Source organism: Homo sapiens, chromosome 9 (genome assembly GCF_000001405.40).
Source record: "Homo sapiens chromosome 9, GRCh38.p14 Primary Assembly".
Classification (NCBI taxonomy): domain Eukaryota; kingdom Metazoa; phylum Chordata; class Mammalia; order Primates; family Hominidae; genus Homo; species Homo sapiens.
This window is the reverse complement of record NC_000009.12, coordinates 110630080-110652832: the sequence shown is the minus strand read 5'-3', so window position 1 is coordinate 110652832 and position 22753 is coordinate 110630080.

Here is a 22753-nt window from a genome sequence, read left to right as displayed (position 1 = left end):
AGGGCTTTGGTATAATCTGTTTTAATAGTCACTTATTTAATTTAAGAATTTTATAATAAAAAAGGTGGTTCTATTAAACCTTGGAAACATAAATAAATATCTCCAGAGGTTAGTATTGATAGTACTATTCCAGTAACGTCCCAAGAAAGCTGAGTTTTAGAAATTAGGCTTTCGACTTTTCTTAGAATTATTCTTTGTAAGATGATATTAACAGCTAACTCTGCTTGAGTGCTTACTCTGTGCCAATCACTGACTGTTCCAAGTATTTTGTATCTATTATTTAATCCTCATTGGAATTTAATCCTCATTAGATGGTATAATACCTATGAGGTAGGTATTATACTATCATTTTCTCATTTTACAGATAAGGAAACTAATTTTGTAATTTGCAGCCTCACGTGGTTATTAAGAAGCAGAGAGATGATTTCAATTAAGGAAGCCTGAATCCAGCACCTGTGCTCTCAGCCGCTACCTTGTACATTCATGTATTCATTCAACAAATGTGTACTGAATGCTCCTAGCTATGCCAGGCACTGTGCTAGATGCTGAGAATAGTAGAGCTCAAAACAAATACGCGTGCTCTCCTGGAGCTTACAATCTAGAGGCAGACAAAACTTAAAACAACAAATAAATGTAGAGCTACAGATTGAGACAAGTGTTACAAAAGAAAATTACAGAGTGCTCTGGAGTATACATCAGGGCCCCTTCTTAGATAAGAAGACTAGGAATGGTTTCTCTAAGAAAGTGATAATTAAGCTAAGATTAAATGGATTACTAAAAGTAAGCAGAGAATGGGGGTGGGAGAATGTGCCAGGCTTTGGTAAGAGCATGGCAAAGTGTTTCTAATCCCTTTGACAAGATCTCATAGGGAGATAAATATATCTCTCTTAGGCCAGTGCCATTAAAATAAATTTCTCTGTGTACCCTTATTCTGACTTCATATTTAATAAAATCTTATCAGTTGGCTTCATGTATAGTTTGACAATAAGAGGAGAATGCACTTATTATGTAGACTTTTAGTATACTGATTATTATGAGTCCTCTCCCCTTATAAATTAATAAATGTGCATTTATACCTATCTCCAGTACCTTCTCTTCTTGTTACCAAGCTTATAAGCAACTTCAGATCCTGAGCCTTCAAAGCAGAAGACCAGATCCTTAAATGGAATGACCTGGATTCCAGATTGAGCTCCCACCCAGCTCCAAGCTGCCTTTCCTTTAAATGCTTGTATTGGATCTCTCTTATTGGTGAAGTTTTATAAATATGCAATATTTGGTAAAGTGGGAAAAAAGACGAATTATTTTATATTAAAAAAAGAATAATAGATTTAGTGAGCACACAATCCATGATTATTCTGGTTAGTTTTACTGAAAAGAAAGTCTATCTGGGACAGAGTCTGAATGAAATAATGTTTTGAATATTTAGGGAATAAAACAGACACCATTCTTGTCTTAGCAGTCATGTGCTGAGTGAGTAATGCTGGTATTGTTTTACGAGATTGTTTTAGTATAAAACCGTAGTAAACTGTGCTGGAAAGTATTTCCCCACTACAAGCATGGAAACGAGACTTACTCATAATATTTATTTCTTCTCCAGAGTGCCTTTGCAGACCTGAAACATCTGAACTAACAAAAGGCCTCCAATTTATAATATAACACAGCTGCTCCGAGGATTGCGTGCGGGCATATGTGTGTGCATGATGGGAGGGGATTTCCTTGTATGTATTCATTTATGTGCCCTCTGGAGAAGGGGCAAGTTCAGTCCAACTGGAATTCTAAGTGCCTCTTACTGGGCATTTGTTATATGTAAAAAGCTGGCTCATGTCTAAAGTATCTTCCAGGCAGCGTGCAGCTGAGAGCCATATAAGAGAAGACTGTATATTGTTTAGGAACAGTGATGCTAATGGGTAGCATTTTCACAGCGAACAATTAGTTTTTCTACCACTGAAGAACAGTGTATTTATTATAAAGAAATGGGAATTATACAGAAACTGTCATCAGAAGATATGTTTCTATCATTATTTTCTATTATTAGTTATTCACAATCAGTAAGTTCACTTCCAACACATGTACTATACTTTTAACAGAGCAGAAACAATAAGGCTATCAGTATCACAGTTTAGTTCTTTCTTTATTCTTCACTTTTGTTCTTCCAAACTGTCAAAGCATGATTAATCTTGAATGTTACCAATTTAGAAAAAAATCTAGATATTCTAATAAATTGTTTTCTTCTTTTCTTTCCCATCTCTTTTCCAAACCTATTTATTCATTTAACTAACTGAACTTGACGCCAGGAATGCGGTGACAGGTGGATTAGTCTCTACCAGAGAACTCACAGTCTGGCTAGGGAGATGGGTGACTATATCAACAACTATGAGAGAGTGCAATAAGTGTTAGGCATGTTTAGAGCTCTTGGGAGAACAGAGTATGGGCACTTACAGGAGTTAGGCAATCATGGGGGCAGTCTGAGATGACCACCCCGCCCCACAAAGAGAGGACAGTGCTTGAACTAAGCAGTTGTTAACTGGGTAGATGTGAAGGCAGGGAGAGCAGCAGAGCTCACAGAAAACAGCCTACAAGATGTCAGGATCTGAGAGATACATGCCATGTCTTTTCTGGCCTAGTCTGTTTTTCCCTTGTACCTTTCCCTGAATGCCAAGTGCAAGTCATGAGACAAGGATTCAAAGAGGTGAAATAAAATCAGAGAACAAATTGGTATCGGTTTGCGTTCTGGAGGAAAGTGGCCAGTTGACAACAGACAGATATTTTACATGTTCTCCCCCAGTAACTAGTGAAATCACCCAGAAAATGGTGAAATGACTACATTCACATCAGAAACTAGGGAACCATCCAAATGCTAGAATTTCTGTTACTTACAGGGCAGAGGAGACATGTATGAAGAAGGCTGAGCAGGACTGGCTTGCAAATCACTTACCTTAGAAAGCAGAACCTTTCAAAAATTAACAAGAGATTTTGAACGTCATAGATACCATTATTTATCTAGTCTAGGACTTGGATAAGTAATGGACCACCCAATCAGAGGAAAATCTCGTTCTTTGAGGGCCTTTGGCAGAGGCTGCCTGCTCACCAGATTTCAGTGCTGTAGCTGCCTAGGGAGAGTGTAACGGGATTCAGGAGTAGCTATCCCATGAGGTCTGGGCCATAGATGGCTTTATCAAGTCACTGGCTGCTGGCAAGGGTGACATTGGAAAACTTTTGTCAAGGTCTAGGTCACTAACTGTTCAGAATGCTAAAACTGGGGGTTGATGAAGGCAGGTGAGGAACGATCTCCTGCAGGAGGCACATTTTCATTCGGTTCTCATAGTTTTTCATATACTGCACCAGGAATGGGGTACAGCCATAAATGATTTCGCACCGTTAGGTAAGTGTTGAGAGACACAGATGAAAAACTCTCCTGAAATGAGATGTACCTGCCAGGACTACCTACGGCCCCAGATCACTATGCACTCAATCTGGGCTACTGGATGAAGGAGTTAGAGATTAGGCTTCATTATGAAGACTCAAGTGAAGTATGGGAAAATATAAGGGGAATCCAGGCATCCTACTTATAGGGAGATGTATTAGGCCTTTAACAAAAGAATGAATGAACAGAAGAGACTCTTTCATCAAAAGTGGAAAAAATAGACCTTAAGAAAAATAAAAGTAAATTATTATAAAAAAAAGAAACAAAATTTTATTACGTGAGTAATAAGTATTCAAAATGTTAAAATTTCAGTTATAGTATATATATGTTTGTGTGCGTATGCTTGTGTGTGTGTACTTTTTGCTACTTAACATCCAGAACTTCTCCCCTCCCACACTTGGGGACTTGAGAAGAAGTCAAAATCCAGCCTTACATTAAAGAAGCTGACGGTTCCAGATCTCTTCCCCTTGCAGGCAAAGCCAGGTGGGCACGTGACCAGGATCAGCCAATGGGATGCTCCTGACCATGGCATTGACTCTTGAGTAAGTCAAGCCAAAGCAAAAAGGCACTGGAGAATACATTCACTGTCATGGTGCACAGCAGCAGCCGAGTCTGGAGCAGCAGTATTGGTGACAAGATGTCACCAGAGCCCATCTGCTCCTAGGCATGACTTTGACTAAACTGTTGTGCCTCCCACCTAGCTTTCCTTGGCTTTTACCCATTTTTTCAAGTTTTATTCTCTAGCCTTCCTGTTGATACTATAAACTTCACAACAGTCTTCTAGTAATTCCTTTTCAGCCTAAGTTAGGCAGAGCTGATATTAATTGGCAACACCTAATACAACACATACAGAAATGTTTTGTTTTTGTTTTTTGAGTCAGTGCCTCCCTCTCTTGCCCAGGCTGGTGCAGTGGCACAATCATAGCTCACTCTAGCCTCGAACTCCTGGGCTCAAGTGATCCTTCTGCCTCAGCCTCCAGAGTAGCTGGGACTACAGGAGCACACCACTATGCCCAGCTAATTTTTTTTTTAAATGTATAGATGTGGGTTTTGCTGTGTTGTCCAGGCTGGTCTTGAACTCCTGGGCTCTAGTGATCCTCCCACCTTGGCCTCCCAAAGTGCTGGGATTACAGGCATGAGCCACAGTGCCTGGCCTGGAATTTTTTTTTTTCCCCAAAAGTTTTGCTTAATGAAAAAGTGCATTTCTACTGTCTCCTGGGCATTTAGAGTTTTCACAGACATAAGCATGTAAAATTTTCTTGTCATAACTGATGAAGATTCAGTGCTGGGATCCCGCCAAAGTGATGTCCTAGTAGTTGGCACTCAGCTTCCCTGTGTTGTTGCCTGTTCTGATTGGCGTCTTGCTCCCCGTAAACAGAGGTCATTGATCACAACTACTCTTCGAACATACTCATTAGTATCAACCACCTTCTGCATTTGTACCTGATGCTCTCTACATTTCTCTTACCTGGTTGAAAACCCTAGTTCCAACCTTTTCCATCACCATGACTTACATGCTAGGCCCTGTGCTATCTCACAGCTGAATCGGGTTAAAAATGTGACCTAATTAATCGTGTGGTACACACAGGCCTAAATCCTATTTTGAATACAAGCCAATTGTATTTCTTTCAAATGGGTGTCATAAAAGCTTTAGCAAGAACTTCTCATAGCTCAAAGAGAGACATGCCTGATTTATGATTTCTTGATAGCACTTAACATTTTATTTGGATTTAGAGATAACTCTAGATACATCAATCAAACAAGCTGTTTTCAAATCCTTCTGCTCAGCTGTTCCCGGTGCCAGATTGTCTAACAAATAGAAGCATAAACAGATGTAATTTGTGACTTGTGGAGACCATTCTCTGTCATGCAATAGGCCAGCTGGTGGCACGAGCCATAGTACAGTCCACAGCCTGACTCACAGGCATCAGGCTTCTCACTCCTCATACACGTGAGCAATGTTTAAAGATCACAGTTACATAAAAGTTTATTCTGGAAAATTCATTTAAATATTTGCTTACAAACTTGATTGTTGAAAGATGGTATTTTATCATAACATGTATCCTCATAATCAGACCTTGCAAAGTAGAACTTTTGTTACCTGATTTAAAAAAATGTAGCTATGGTAATTTGTAAAATAAAACTTTGGCAAAAGAACCAACAGCATGTATGATTGATAGCCCAGAAAAATGACATATACTAATATGTATGCACACACTTACATGCATATATACACATATATCTGTGTGTACATGTATGTATATATATATATGTCTATATATGTCATGTACCATTATGTATGTGTTGTGTGTGCGTGTATATACAACATATACATACATATTTGGTATATGATAAAGTTATCACAATTTTGTGAATAGAAAGGATTATTTGGAAAAGTTGCACCAGGATCTTTTCTTTTTTTTTTTTTCAAAACAGGATACAAGATCTATATACAAAAATCAAGTGATTTAATTTCTATATAATGGCTATTAAAAATCTTTATTATTATACTTTAAGTTTTAGGGTACATGCGCACAACGTGCAGGTTTGTTACATATGTATACATACACCATGTTGGTGTGCTACACCCATTAACTCATCATTTACATTAGGTATATCTCCTAATGCTTTCCCTCCCCCCTCCACCCTCCCCTCACCCCATGACAGGCCCTGGTGTGTGATGTTCCCCTTCCTGTGTCCAAGTGTTCTCATTGTTCAGTTCCCACCTATGAGCGAGAACATGTGGTGTTTGGTTTTTTGTCCTTGCGATAGTTTGCTGAGAATGATGGTTTCCAGCTTCATCTATGTCCCTACCAAGGGCATGAGCTCATCCTTTTTTATGGCTGCATAGTATTCCATGGTGTATATGTGCCACATTTTCTTAATCCAGTCTATCATTGATGGACATTTGGGTTGGTTCCAAGTCTTTGCTATTGGGAAAAGTGCCATAATAAACATATGTGTACATGTGTCTTTATAGCAGCATGATTTATAATCCTTTGGGTATATACCCAGTAATGGGATGGCTGGGTCAAATGGTATTTCTAGTTCTAGATCCTGTCTTCCACAATGGTTGAACTAGTTTACAGTCCCACCAACAGTGTAAAAGTGTTCCTATTTCTCCACATTCTCTCCAGCATCTGTTGTTTCCTGACTTTTTAATGATCGCCATTCTAACTGGTGTGAGATGGTATCTCATTGTGGTTTTGATTTGCATTCTCTGATGGCCAGTGATGATGAGCATTTTTTCATGTGTCTGTTGGCTGCATAAATGTCTTATTTTGAGAAGTGTCTGTTCATATCCTTTGCCCACTTTGTGATGGTGTTGTTTTTTTCTTGTAAATTTGTTTGAGTTCTTTGTAGATTCTGGATATTAGCCCTTTGTCAGATGAGAAGATTGCAAAAATTTTCTCCCATTCTGTAGGTTGTCTGTTTGCTCTGATGGTAGTTTCTTTTGCTGTGCAGAAGCTTTTTAGTTTAATTAGATCCCATTTGTCAATTTTGGCTTTTGTTGCCATTGCTTTTGGTGTTTTAGACATGAAGTCCTTGCCCATGCCTATGTCCTGAATGGTATTGCCTAGGTTTTCTTCTAGGGTTTTTATGGTTTTAGTTCTAACATTTAAGTCTTTAATCCATCTTGAATTAATTTTTGTATAAGGTGTAAGGAAGGGATCCAGTTTCAGCTTTCTACATATGGCTAGCCAGTTTTCCCAGCACCATTTGTTAAACAGGGAATCCTTTCCCCATTTCTTGTTTTTGTCAGGTTTGTCAAAGAGCAGATGGTTGTAGATGTGTGGTATTATTTCTGAGGGCTCTGTTCTGTTCCATTGGTCTATATCTCTGTTTTGGTACCAGTACCATGCTGTTTTGGTTACTATAGCCTTGTGGTATAGTTTGAAGTCAGGTAGCATGATGCCTCCAGCTTTGTTCTTTTGGCTTAGGATTATCTTGGCAATGCGGGCCCTTTTTTGGTTCCATATGAGCTTTAAAGTAGTTTTTTTCCAATTCTGTGAAGAAGGTCATTGGTAACTTGATGGGGATGGCACTGAATCTATAAATTACTTTGGGCAGTATGGCCATTTTCACGATATCGATTCTGCTTCTCCATGGGCATGGAATGTTCTTCCATTTGTTTGTGTCCTCTTTTATTTCATTGAGCAGTAGTTTGTAGTTCTCCTTGAAGAGCTCCCTCACATCCCTTGTAAGTTGGATTCCTAGGTATTTTACTCTCTTTGAAGCAATAGTGAATGGGAGTTCACTCATGATTTGGCTCTCTGTTTGTCTGTTATTGGTGCATAAGAATGCTTGTGATTTTTGCAAAATTGATTTTGTATCCTGAGACTTTGCTGAAGTTGCTTATCAGCTTAAGGAGATTTTGGGCTGAGACAATGGGGTTTTCTAGATATATAATCATGAATCATGTCATCTGCAAACAGGGACAATTTGACTTCCTCTTTTCCTAATTGAATACCCTTTATTTATTTCTCCTGCCTGATTGCAGGATGCTTTCTTAACTATTCAGAAAAGAAATCCTCACATCATGTACAAAAACTGATTCCACATGGATTTGAACAACAAAAACCAAACTACGCAATAGGTGGATAAAAATATAGATAAATCTGAATGATCTTGACTTGGGGAAATATTTTTTAAGAATAAAATCAATGTGAGGAATAAAAGAAAGCATCAAGAGATTTGACTTTACAAATATTAAGATATTTTGTATTATAAAAACATCGTTAAGAAGCAAACAACAAATAATTGGAATTCAGGGGCTCAATAAATAAGACACCTCTACTCTGGTCAACTTCTGAACCAAATGAACAATAAAGAAGATGAGTCAATAGGATAGAGGCCAAAATATCATCTTTATCATTATTAAACTGAGGTTGTAGAATGTTGCTGGACAGTGGTGGGCAGGTGAATTTACTAACATGGGTCCCCTAAGTTAGGCAGATATATCCATCCATGCACAGGCAGTCTTAGAGTGACTCAGGCCTTCCCTTATGGTGTCTGCCTCTGATGAACTTACAGTGTAAAAGAGCAAAAAACAACTTATGCCTCTTGTCTCACTGTGGGGAAGTTTGCTGCCAAAGAAAAAACTTGAAAAGGGGGTCAGGCTATATATGCCCAAGATTGTGCTCCCAAACTCATCAATTGGATTACAATGCTTCTTCTCCCTTTGAAAGAAATGGGTTAAAAAATAACCAGGAATCTTACACAAATAGAGTTCACACATAAACATGAGAAATAAGGTAGAACTATTATTTGCCAAACAGAATTTAAGGGTACGTATTGGTTAGGGATTTGAACTGGCTACTACATATAGTGCACAAGAGCTTATATAAGGGGAAAAAAAGAGAAATTCCAATAGGAAATAGAGCAAAGGATACAAAAATTCACAGAATTACAAATACCTAATAAAATATGAACATTCTGAAATTCATCTATTCAAAGAAATACAAATAATAAACATCAGTGTTTTATATATATGAAGTTTCTTACAGTTATTTATTCCACCTTGAGAGATGAAGAGAAAAAAGCAGGAACAATTTGCTAATATACAGCTAGTATTGTGATAAGTCAAAGTAACTGTGTACTGATCAGCTCCTGATGACTATAAGAGTGTCTTAATTTCTAATGTTATTAAGCTTTACTTTATCAAGGAAGTTAAATCAAATGTACTAACCATTAAGAATTTGCTCTGTTTCAAGTTAGCAAATAGTAAGAGAATGTTAGTCAATGAAGAGCAGTGAATATACCATGCCTCTAACCCAAGCTCTAACTTACTTTGTTCCAGTCTATGTGGTAGGTAGATGGTGTAAGAATATGACAGTTGCTCAGAACTAGAAAGACAGACAATATAGGGGCACAGTAGTGTGCAGGGGCGATAGACAGTGGGGATGGTATGGTTGAGGGGTTGGTGCCATTAAGATGTAGACATAGTCTATTCAGATACTGTAGTTAAATAGAACATGACTCCTTGCCTCCTTCACTAGCCACATTTATTCCAGGGAGAAAGCCCTGACTTGAATTTCTGTGGATGACACAGGTGCTAAATGGAATAAAATATAATGTCTTTAAAATGGAAAAGTTATATTTTTTGAGGATAAGTATTGCTATTGATGACATAGTGAGACTGGTACTCTCATTCACAGATGAAGATTGTGCAAATTAGTTAAAAATTTTTATCAAAAGCTTCATAAAGACAATACCTTTACACCAACTAGTCCCACATTCAGTACTCTATCCAACACAGAACTGTAAAAGAGATTTACATCTATGTTAGACATCACAGCCAAAAAAAAAAAAGCTGAAATAATCATGTTTTTTGAATTTAAGAATATAAATTTTGATCCATTTTATTATTATTATTATTGTTATTATTTTGAGACAGGGTCTCACTCTGTCGCCAAGGCTGGACTGCAGTGGCGTGATCTCCGCTCACTGCAACCTCCACCTCCCAGGTTCAAGCAATTCTCATGCCTCAGCCTCCCAAGTAGCTAGGACTACAGGAGCACACCACCACGCCCAGCTAATCTGTATATTTTTTAGTAGAGACAGGGTTTCACCATGTTGGACAGGCTGATCTCGAACTCCTGACCTCAAAGTGATCAGCCTTCCTTGGCCTCCCAAAGTGCCATTATTGTTTTTAAAGTATAAGAATAAAATGTGCCTATATAGTATGGTTTGTACACATGCATATATGTAGAGAGAGAATACACTGAAATCTTTAGAATTTTCTCTCAGAGGTAGAAGAGCAGATAAATTTTAAATATTTTAGTATTTTAATTTTATATTTATATAAAAAGTTTCTACATTTTATATAAAATATATTTTTATATTCTTATTTTGTAATTGAATTTTCTGATTCCCCAAATTATTCACTATGATTATGCATTACTTTCAACTATACACATACATATATATAAAATTTATAAATAAACATTTACAGACAGTTTTTACATCTGTGCCCAGTTTTGCAGTTATGCTTACAACACTTTAGTCAACTTTACACATTATTCCTGCACTCATCAGTTCTTACATGTCACAAAACTATCTTGACTCGCGAATATTTTTTTTGAGATGGAGTCTCGCTCCATCGCCCAGGCTGGAGTGCAGAGGCGCCATCTGGGCTCACTACAACCTCTGCCTCCCGGGTTCAAGCAATTCTTCTGCCTCAGCTTCCCAGATAGCTGGGATTACAGGTGCCCATCACCACGCCCGGGTAATTTTTTGTATTTTTAGTAGAGACAGGGTTTCACCATGTTGGCCAGGCTGGTCTCAAACTCCTGACCTCAAGTGATCTACCCACCTCAGCCTCTCAAAGTGCTGGGATTACAGGCATGAGCCACTGTACCTGGCCTTGACTTGTAAATTTTGATTCATTTTTCTATTGAGTAAAATATTTTTCTTTCTTTTTCAGAAAGGGTACGTAGTAGCTGTTTTCTAAGGCTTTGTGTACGAAAAATTGTCTCCTAAAGACTCCACTTGTAAAAGGCAATAGATCGAATATAGTCTTTTCGTACTATTGACGGACATTCAATATTGCATGAGTTTGAAGCAAATCTAATTTTTGTACTATTGAAAGTCACCTTTTTAATTTTGTTTTTGCCTGGTTACTCCTACAGTGTTTCATTATCAAAATCGGAAAAACTTTGGTTCCATTTCTCACCAATTTTAGCCATTAAGACAGAGGCTTGTTTTAATTTGAAGGTCAGTGTCACCTGGAATAAGGGAATTCTGTGGTCACCCCTGGTGACTGCACCAAGGCTATGTATGCTGTCCCTCAGATCACACAAAGCTCAGGGTACTTGGCAGAGCTAGGGCTGTGACTCTGCAAGTAAAATTATAGATATTTGCTCTGACTAATTTAGTAATCATCCATGAAAAACGATGATGTGTAACCCATGAGTGGATCTTTCTAAATCCTACATTAGCTTTTCTCTGAGCCCCGTTAAGTTTTCATCATTTGAAGTTTGGCTTCAGTCAAAGGACCAACTGACTCAAAATAAGGATAACTGGATTTCAGCTATCATAGAGCATTGCAGCCCAGGAATGAATTATGGCTGTGCAAATCAATCCCTTGATGTCATGAAGGTAATTCTTGCCAAATTACATCAACTTTGCCCCCTCGACACAGCTTCTCTGTCTTGGTAGAGGAATACTGTCTATTCTCTAGACCATACCAGAGGCAAAAGTAGGACTATTTGTCAAGGAATATGCAAAATTTTCTGCTTTCAACTCCATCACTCCATGTAGCGTCAGGCATTCTGCACAGTCTATCATATACATTGCAAGTCTCCAGGGTAAGTGAGTGGGTTGGGGGTTGCACTTGAATTCACAACTGAATCTCTTCTCCTACCCCCACAGCTGCTGTTATCTTACTTTCTTGCAACAGCCTCTTCAATGAGACATCCTGTCAAACCTCAGCTGTAAGAGCCTCTCATCACTGTCACTTCTTCTATTGTTCTCTGTAATAATGTCACCAGGCCTGCCAAAAGGACTGTCTTCTAATACTCCTGAAGCTGTCAAAACAACTTCCACTGCAGATGTCTAGGTACTCCCACTGGGCACCCAGCCACAGGTGACAATCAATGCTATGTTAAGTCATTTTACAGAGTTCTAGGTAAAATCAGCACTTGAAGTTTTTATTTGCAGGCCTCTCTCTCTCTCTAACATAGTTGTGGAAATAAAACCACAAGCTGTAAGATGTTTTTACTGTGTGGGTTTGAAGCCTGGCTATATTACCTTGGGAAAGTAATTTAATCTCTTTCCTCCTTTCTAAAATGTTATAATAATAATAATACGTACCTCGTGTAGATGTTTTGATGAGTGAGTACACCTATCCCTTGCTTAAAGAGTTTAAATTATTCCAAAAACTTTGTCATTAATCGAATGGCCAAAATTTTTGAAAATCCACCAATTTAAATTGGAACTATTCTAGTCCAGTTAGGCAGCTTCCTAAATACTGAGCACATAAAGATATTCCGCATTCTTCTTTACAACATTTATACTATGGAATTCAGATCTCATTAATTCATCATATGTAATGCTGTCACAGACTGTGGTTAGGCTACAGTTTGAAGGAAGCCATTGAAAAACGGTAAGAAATATTTTTAGGAAAACTTTTAATGCTACTGAAAAGATCAAATGTTTCAATCACTTTAGAAGCATATATCAATTGATATACTAATAAATATATCAGTTGTACTCAGTTGTCAATGAGTACATTGACAAACTAATTAGAAAGTATACTAAGTATAATTTGAGTTAAGAAAAGTAAAACTTAAAATGAGGCAAAGGGCTTTTTAAAATCAAAATGAAAAAATCACACTAAAATATGAGTTATAAGCTTTAATTCATTGAATAATATAATGGTAAAATATGTAAAGAAAAAGCAAATGTTAATGAAAAGAAATACAATTGTCAGAGATTTTGATATCTCTTCTCCATGAGAAATCAAGTGGTTAAAAAAATATGTAACATTGGCTGGGTGCCGTGGCTCATGCCTGTAATCCCAGCACTTTGGGAGGCCAAAGTGGGTGCATCACCTCAGGTCAGGAGTTTGAGACCAGCCTGACCAACATGGTGAAACCCCGTCTCTACTAAAAATACAAAAAATAGCCAGGCGTGGTGGCACATGCCTGTAATCCCAGTAATCCCAGCTACTTGGGAAGCGGAGGCACGAGAACCGCTTGAACCCAGGAGGCGGCGGTTGCAGTGAGCTGAGATCATGCCACTGTACCCCACCCTGGCTAACAGAGTGAGACTCCATCTCAAAAAAAAAGAAAAACAACAACAACAAAAAGCACATAACATTATATAGAGAATCTGAGAAATATAAGAAAGTTATAATATTTGAATTCTATATCATACAAATATAGACTAATCCTTTTCATGGTCCCTGAGAAACAGTTATTAAAATTTATCATAAAAAAACACTCAAAGAAAAATTCAATAAACTTAAAAAAAGACATATTTTTTTCTAAAGTAAAATAACACTCTCCTAAATAACACTTGGGTTAGCAACATTAGCTTATTTAGAATAGCCTTAATTGCAATGATGACTTTAATATATAGAGTATTCACAAAATAAGTAGAGAAATTATGAATTATTCTATTTTTAAAAGGGTTAAAAGACATGAAAATGAAATTCACAAATATCAAGTGGATCATAAACTTACAAAATATTTGAAAACATTTAATCAAAGGCATAATTTTAAATAAAGTTATATTTTGTACCTATTTTGAGACAAATGATTTTTAATGTAACATTCAATGTGTATAAATTTTAAAAATGAGTGCGAATTATTATACCCTTTCTTGGGTCCAATTTGAATATAATATTTTAAAAATATATTCTAATACAGCAGTTCTACTTTTGGGAATTTATCCTGTGGAGACAATTAAATATGTGACCTATAATTCAGGAATTAGACACAAGGATGTTCATAACAGTGTTATTTATGAGAATAAGAAATTGGAAATAAACTAAATTTCCTACTACAAGTCATTGGTTAACTAAAGTACGGTGTATTTATATACCATAAAAAATAATGTTGCAGAGAAAGATTTAATGACATGGCAATTTGATATAATACATTTTTTATTTTCAAAATTCAGTTAGTAGGCTCTTGTAGGATAGATTCCATTTATGTGAATATAAAACTTGGCCATGTACTAAAATGTTAATCGTTATTTTATATACAATTGTGGATCATTTTAAATTTCTTCCACCTGTTTAACGTTGTTTTCTCACTATTCTGTAATACATCATAGTAACTGTTAACAGCTTTAAAAATGTCATCAATTTTTAATATATCTAAGAATTGGTTTTTCAAGTTAGCAGTGCCATCTGCTGATCATCTTGGAGTGTTCCTTCAGAATAACAATAAAATTTTTCGGAACTTAGGGAAGTCAGTAATTATCATAATTAAATATTATAAAATATTTAAGAAGAAAAGTGGAATATATAAGAAGAAATATTGTGAAATTTACTTAGTTTAACTCTTACATATGGTGTTCAGAATCTGAACACTGAGTCTACCATTCTTTTATTCCTACATTTTGCATTACAGTTTTATCATCTTCAATTTACAGTAATTCCTTGTCATAGAAGTGACCAAAGAGAGACTTAGCCAAGTTTAGAATGCTAGTGAAGTGTAGATGCTAGCCAGAAAATTATAATAAGTAATAGTTCCAAGGCTCAAGATAAAGTGAAATACCTTAATAAATAAATAATGAATGGGAAAATAAATCAGGGTAATGAATGAGGAACAACTGTTTAGGACATGGGAGTGGAAAAGAATGTGTTAATGGACTTCTTTTATATGGTGGGGTGAGTATCTGACACAGATATGTCTAATCATTATAGGAAATAATAGGAATCAGATGATACTATAATACAGCCTATATTTTCCATTTGTCCACAGGGATGTAATAAAAGATTTGTCAAATGTCTTCTCAATTCCAGATACATCATATTTACAGTAATCCCCCAAACCTATCCATCCTATCAAAGAAAGTAGTCCAGCTAACATGATAGTGCTTCTTCACAATGGACTTCTCTTCAACTAGTGCTTCACCTTAGTAATTCCAAACTACCTTTTTAATAACCATTCTGTGACCCAGCTTAGGCTCATTGTTATAATTGTCTTACATAACTCATCTTTCACTTTGTGGAAATGTGAACACTATTTACCCACATGCAATCTCCTCGCAGCTGTCTCATGCCCCTTCATATCTCTGAGGATCAATAGCAGTGGTTCTGGTAGCTCAATAGCAAGTTCTCTTCAAGCACAGCCTGAAGACTTAAACACATTTATCTTGGTGTTCTCTTTAATTCCATGCTCATTGCCCATCTAGGGCTCCAGTCATCTTCTAAGAGAGATGTTTTTCTAGAATTTTCAGTCCCATATTTATTTCCTTTAAAGAGAAGACAAAAGTTAACTTGTACCAGAGTAGCTCTATATTTTTTCCTCATTCATTCATATTTCATGACGGTATCAAAATCTAATCCATGTCCGTGTGCTATAATCCAGATTTACTGAGAAGCATCTTGTGCTGCTGTGTGGGATTGTTTTAAAAATACACATTGTTTTCAAAAGTACTTTTAATCAAGTTGATAATATATTACAATTTGCCTCCTGAGAATAAATCAGGGGAATTTAGGGGAAGCCAAAACAATGGCAGTGGTGAATATTCAAACCTCCCAGCATAACTTTTAAAGAAAGAAGTCAGAACAACAAAAAGAACCAATATAACCATGCAAAATACCTGCTTTCGTGAGTTTTATTAGTAGAGAATGCCCAAACTTCATATAACCTGTGAAGTAAGAGAAATAAAAACAAAATACTACTGAATTACTCATGACAAATGCATTCATGGAAAATAAAACAGTCAAGTAAAAACTGAATAAAAGAGAAAAGAGGGGAACTAGCAGTGTGCCTAGGATTAACCAAAAAAAAAAAACACTTCCAGAGGAAGAAAATCAACCATAGGTATAAAAATACTGAAGAAAGGCCAGGTGCAGTGGCTCACACTTGTAATACCAGCACTTTGGGAGGTGGAGGCAGCGGATCACCTGAGATCAGGAGTTTGAGACCAGCCTGGCCAACATGGTGAAACCCTGTTTCTACTAAAAACAAAAAACAAACAACAACAACAACAACAACAACAAAACCACAAAAGTTAGCTAGATGTGGTGGTGTGTGCATGTAATCTCAGCTACTTAGAAGGCTGAGGCAGGAGAATTGCTTGAACACAAGAGGCCAAGGTTGCAGTGAGCCAATATGTCACCACTGCACTCCAGCCTGGGCAACAGAGTGAGACTCTGTCTCAAGAAGAAAAAGAAAAATACTGAAAAAGAGTACTGATCTCATGGAAAAGACTTAAAAGTATACCTAAGATATGAGGAGGCAATTATTTTTTAAAAAAGTAAATATTTGGAGGCAATAATGGTTGAAAGGATAGAAGAGGTACCTTTTGGAAAATTCACAGTGAATGAGAAAAAGAAGCAAGAGATAGAAATTTAAGATCTTGGAACACAAAAGGAAGTAAAAATATCAAAGAACACACAATTATTCTCCCAAACCCCTACAGAAAGCAAAGCTATCTAGAAACGAGGTCTACTTTGCTATATTGATAGAAGGAGGCAATTTTGAATTAGGATTCTTATATACTACACCAAGCAGGGACATAGTCTTTGTACAAATTACTGTTAAAGGAAAACAAATTAAAATAAAAACAGTTTATCTGAGGAACTTTTTCTCCAAGCAGGAGACTAGCAAAGCAAAACAAAACTATTACAGTTTTTAAAACTGAATTAAGTATCCTCAAACAAGCATTTTGATATATGAAACAATAACAACAGCAAAAGACCTTGCATCTGAAATTGAAAAGTCAAGAATTGGAAGAAATGAAATGAGAGCTGACTGAATTCAGGGGCAAAAATTACATAAGAAATGAAGACTAAGGCACCTAGAGCACCCAAGGAAGAAAAGGTGTGAATGATCACTTAATAAAGGGCAATAAGTAGAAGTGGAAAAACAACTAATACATGAAAAAATAAGAAAAAGCCTTTTTTAAAAGGTCAAATAAAATTGGTTGAAATGGTATTCAGGCAAAGGACCAATTTATGTATAATTGGAGTTTCAAAAGAAAAACAATAGAATAGAACTAATATTTTTAAAAATTATAGTAAACTTTCTAGAAATAAAGAAGATCTGTGTTTACATATGGAAAGGACCCACCAGGTACTGGAGGAAACTGACCCACAATGATCAACTCTGTGACAAACTCTAGTAAAACTATCAAACCTTAAAATGAAGAAAAAGATTTATCAGGGCCACTAGTTTTTTAAAAAACAAATAAATTACGAGGACAAGATTAGACTAGGATCAAATTTCCCAGATAATAAGGAAAAAACACACATACAAAGCAAAGCATCAATTGGGCAGCATTTTCAAAAGATTCAAGGAAAGAATATGTGAACCAAACATTTTATAAAGCCAAGTTGTCTTTAAAATGTCAATGTTTCAAATATGGAAGAAATCAGGAAATTCTATCCTTGGCAGCCCATTTTGAGAAATACATTAGAGAATGGGCTTCTTTGAACCAAGATATGATGAGTGAAACTTCTGGAAAAAAGACTAATGGTGAGCATTTAGTATGTTCAATTTGTAGATACAAGTGAGATCAGACAAAAGTGAGGATAACAGCGATAGAATAACATGTTACATAGCATATATTATATATCATATTATGTGTCTTATCTTTGACAAATGTAAATGATGTGACTAAGAATGAGAGAAGAAAAATTGAAAGAGGAAAATAAAATAAGCACATTAATTTTTTTAATATAGGGAACAAGTGAAAGCTAATGGATACCAGTAAAAACTAACAAAGTGGTAAGTAAAAGGTTAAATATGGAAACAGAGAACTAATGATATTTAAAAATCTATAAAGATGGATTCCACACATAAGTGAGATCATGATGTATTGTGACTATAGTTAATAACAATATATTGTATTCTTGAAAAATGCTAACAGAGTATATTTTAAATGTTCTCACCACAAAAAGGATAACTTTGTGAGTTAGTGCATATGTTAATTATCTAGATTTAACCATTCTGCAATGTTTATATATTTCAAAACATCACGTTGTACATAATAAACACATACAATTTTATCTATCAATTTCATTAAAAAGGCATTAAGATAAAGATGATCACTAGAACTTTCTAAATAGCCAAAGAAATTGTAAAGGTAAAACAGCAAAAAAAATATAGTAAAGGAAAAACTCAGCAATTATAACATAAAATGCATAATTATGACAAATAATATGTAGTTGTGAGACTAGACAATCACACTTACTAATAAACGTGAATGGACTTGACCCATATATTAATAGGAAAAGACTTCCAATTTGACTCACAAAACAAGAACCAACTATACGGACACACAAGAGACGTCTCTAAAATAAGTGACTCAAAGGATAAAAATAAAGAGATAGACAAAGGCATACCAGGCAAATGGAATCTGTCAGGGAGGCAGGTGTAGCAATTCTGACATTAGACAAAGAAAAATTCAATTTTATAAGCATTAAAGGTATAAAAATGACACTTCTTTATGTTAGAATGAACCATAATTCACTTCTTAATGCTAGAATGAACCATAATTCACAATAAAGTTATATTTATGAATATCTATGCACTAAATAACAGAATTCCCTCACTGAAGCAAAAACTACAACAATGCAAGAAGACATAAGTGGAAATACACTCATTATAACTTTAGCTCAGTATTCTCCACATAAGACAGATTAAGTTGACAAAAAATAAATAAGATAAAAGACCTAAACAACATAATAAATGGGGTAGATTTTAAGGCTATACAAAACTTTAAACTCTGTTAATGGAGAGTGCACCTACTGAAGTGTAAATGGAAGTCACAAAAATTGACTTTGAGATCATGTTACACATACAAAAAGTCAGTAACATGAACTAGAAATATTACATATTCTCTTATCACAAAGCCAAGAACTAAAAATTATTAGCAACAAATAAAGGTTCAACTGGGAATTTAAAAGCCTTACATTAAATGATTTTTGCAGAATGGGCAAAAGGGAAATACAAAAGGTTGGTGCAAAAATAATCACAGTTTTGGATTATGAATTTTAAATCATTATAACTAGGCACAAACACATATTTATTAATCAAAACAGGAACCATTACAATCAACACATTTTTGCCAACGAGAAATAAATTTGTTTATACCTATAACATAAAAATTCATGTTTCAGGATTCGATGAACTCTTGGAAAGGAATTTCTGCATCCTGCTGGTTGTGGAAGTGTTTTCCCTGCAAAAAGTTGTCAAGGTGCTTGAAAAAGGGTAGTCGGTTGGTGAGAGGTAAAGTGAATAGTGGATGAGGCAAAACTTCGAAGTGTTGGTTATGCGATAAATGGTTGGGCATTGTTGTGGAGAATTGAGCCCTTTCTGTTGACCAATGCTGGCTGCCCGTGTTTGGTGCATCTCATCGATTTGCTGAGCATACTTCTCAGATGTAATGGTTTTGCCAGCATTCAGAAAGCTGTAGTGAATCAGACCCGCAGCAGACCACCAACAGGGCCCATGACCTTTTTTTCGGTGCAAGTTTGGCTTTGGGAAGTGCTTTGGAACTTCTTTTCAGCCCATCCACTGAACTGGTCGTCACCAATTGTGATATAAAATCCATTTTTCATTGCATGTCACGATTTGATTGAAAAATGGTTCATTGTTGTGATGTAGAATGAGAAGAGTACACTTCAAAAATGAGGGTTTTTAAAAATTTTTCGCTCAGCTCATGAGGTACCCACTTACTGAGCTTTTTCACCTTTCCAATTTGCTGCAAATGCTGAGCAACCACAGAATGGTCGACGTTGAGTTCTTCAGCAACCTCTTGTGTATTGGTAAGAGGATAAGCTTCGATAATTGCTCTCAATTGGTTTTTGTCAACTTTTGATGGTTAGCCACTATGCTCCTCATCTTCAAGCCTCTTGTCTTTTTTGCAAAACGTCTTGAACCACCACTGCACTGTAGGTTTGTTAGCAGTTCCTGGGCCAAATGCATTGTTGACGTTGCGAGTTGTTTCGGCTGCTTAAACATTTTGAACTCAATTAAGAAAATCGATCAAATTTGTTTTTTGTCTGACATCATTTCCATAGTCTAAAATACATATAAAATAAACAGCAAGTAGTAAGTCATTAGCAAAAAACATAAAGTGAGAAATGTGCGTTAAAATGATGTCTAACATAATCAAATTTAAGAATGTATTCCAGTATCAAACAGCAAATTTCAACAATGCAAAAATCGCAATTACTTTTGTACCACCTAATACATTTGCAAAAAGCCTTTACAAGTAAAGTCACATTCACAGGCGCTGAAGTTTAGGACTTGAACGTATCTTTTTTTATGGACCTGGGGACAGGGTGGGAGGGACACGATTCTACCTACGCAGAAATACAGGTTACAAAAATTACCTATGAGACATACAAAGCTTAAACAGATTAATTTCCATGAAGAAATAGAAAAAGTGATAAAGACAGAACCAATAAACAATTGCCAGAAAGTTCTACCAGATTTTCATAGACCAGCCTCTATATGTTTTCCATTGCCTAAACCTGATACCTAAATCTAGTAAAGAAAGTATGAAATTAAAGATACTAATATTATTTATCAATATTGATGCAAAGTTTCTAAATAAAATATTAATAAACAGAATCAAACACATTAAGAAAACAATATGCTACAATCAAGTAGATTTTTTTCCAAGGATGCAAGATTGATTCAATATTAAGAAATTTATTCAAATAACACTTGTAATAATAAGCCTTGATTATATTCATAGATAATGAAAAAAGTCTTAGATAAAAACAAATATTTGTCTGATGAAAACACTCAAGAAAATAAGAACTGATGAATACTTTTTAAAGTATATATATTCTCCATCTCTGTATATATAAATCTACATATATGTATTAGAATATGTGTTCTAAAGAATAAAGATGTGTGTTTGTGTATGTGTATGTATATATGTATTTTAAAACCCTGTTCACAATAGCAACAAAAGTAAAATACTTAGAAATATAGTTAATAGGAAATGTGTAAAATTTATATGAGGAACACTTCAAAACACTTGTGTTTAAAACACAAAAGGAGATTTGAACAATTGGAAAAATATTCTTTGTTCTTGGAATGATTCAACATCATAAATACATCAGCTTTCTCTAAGTTAATGGATAAATTTAGTGCACTCTCAATACAAACAGCAGCAAGCTTTTAAATGAAGCTAGACAAGTTAATACTGAAATTCATTTGGAAAAATAAACATGTAAGAATATCCAGGAAATGGATGTTGAAACACATTATAGAACCTCTCTAATAAAAACAGTTTGGTACTGGCACACAAACAAGCAGACAGGCCAATGAAATTAAATAAAAAATTCAAAGATACCCAAGTACATATGGAAATTTAATATATGATAAATGTTGCAAAAATCACTGGGACAAAGTCAGACATTTTAATAAATGGTGCTAAGTAGCCAATTCAAAAAAGTTAAAATTAGATCCATACCTTATACCAGGGATAAAGATAAACTCCAATGATCCAGAAATCTGAATATAGACTATAAAAACCATACAAGTGGTAGAAGAAAATATGGGTGAATTCGTCTTTAACTTCAGTGAGGAGAAAAGGTTTTCTAAGTAGGACTAGAAATTGAGATGGTATAATTCATTTGACTATAAAGGAATAAAAATAAATACTTCTGCATAGCAAAAAAAGAAAAACAACAGAGTTTAGAAAAAACTGAGAGAAAATATTTGCAATAATTCACTCACACACACACATGCACACACATACATGTAGAAGGAACTTAAACATATGGAAAAATGTTCAACTTTGCTTATCATGAGAGAAATGCAAAATAAAACTGCATTGAGGACCCATTTCTCATCCATCAGAGTGACAAAATTTTTAAAATATAACAACACACACTCAACTGGTGTGGCTGTGGTGAAAAAGGCGTATGTCCATATCGGTGGCAGGAATACAAGTTGTTACAACACTTATGGAGTATTTAACAAAACTACCTTTAACCCAGCGTTCCCACTGGCTAGAAATATACACTAAAATTTCCTCTAGCAATACAAACTACATATGTACAAGTCATTAATTAAAGATTGTTTGTACTGACAAAGTCTTGGAAACACTGTATGTTTGTATATATGGAGGTAGTTGAATAAAGTATGTTACACTACACAAAGGAGTACTTCACAGCTGTAGAATTCATCTCATTAAACTAGAAAATGTCTCACCCTGAATAACCAGAAACCAAATAAAGTGCATGAAAAAACTGTTTTTAGACATTGGACAAGGGACAGCTAGAAGAGTGGTCCCTGAGAGTAGGAAAACAAATGAGGTGAGCCCTGTGGTTGCCAAGCTTACCATCGATGGAGAGTCTCCAGGCTGCAAAGCATAAAGAGAACATCCAAAAGCATCCAGCAGCCACTCTGAGTTCCAAGTCGAGGTACACTAAGTGGCTAGAATTTGCTGGGGAAAATATGCCAGAGGAGAAAGACCTACACAGAAAGAGACCTGACCACTGCAAAGGAGTCTCCTTGACTCTTTATAACCAAGTAATGACCTAATATGAGTGTGAGTAAGCTACTCAATGCCAGGGAAAGAACTGATAGAATGAAGGGGAACCATTTCTAAAATTCACAAAGAGTTGGGAATAGTTCTTCGTCCCACCAGCCAGGGTAGAAAGACCTCTTAATACATGGG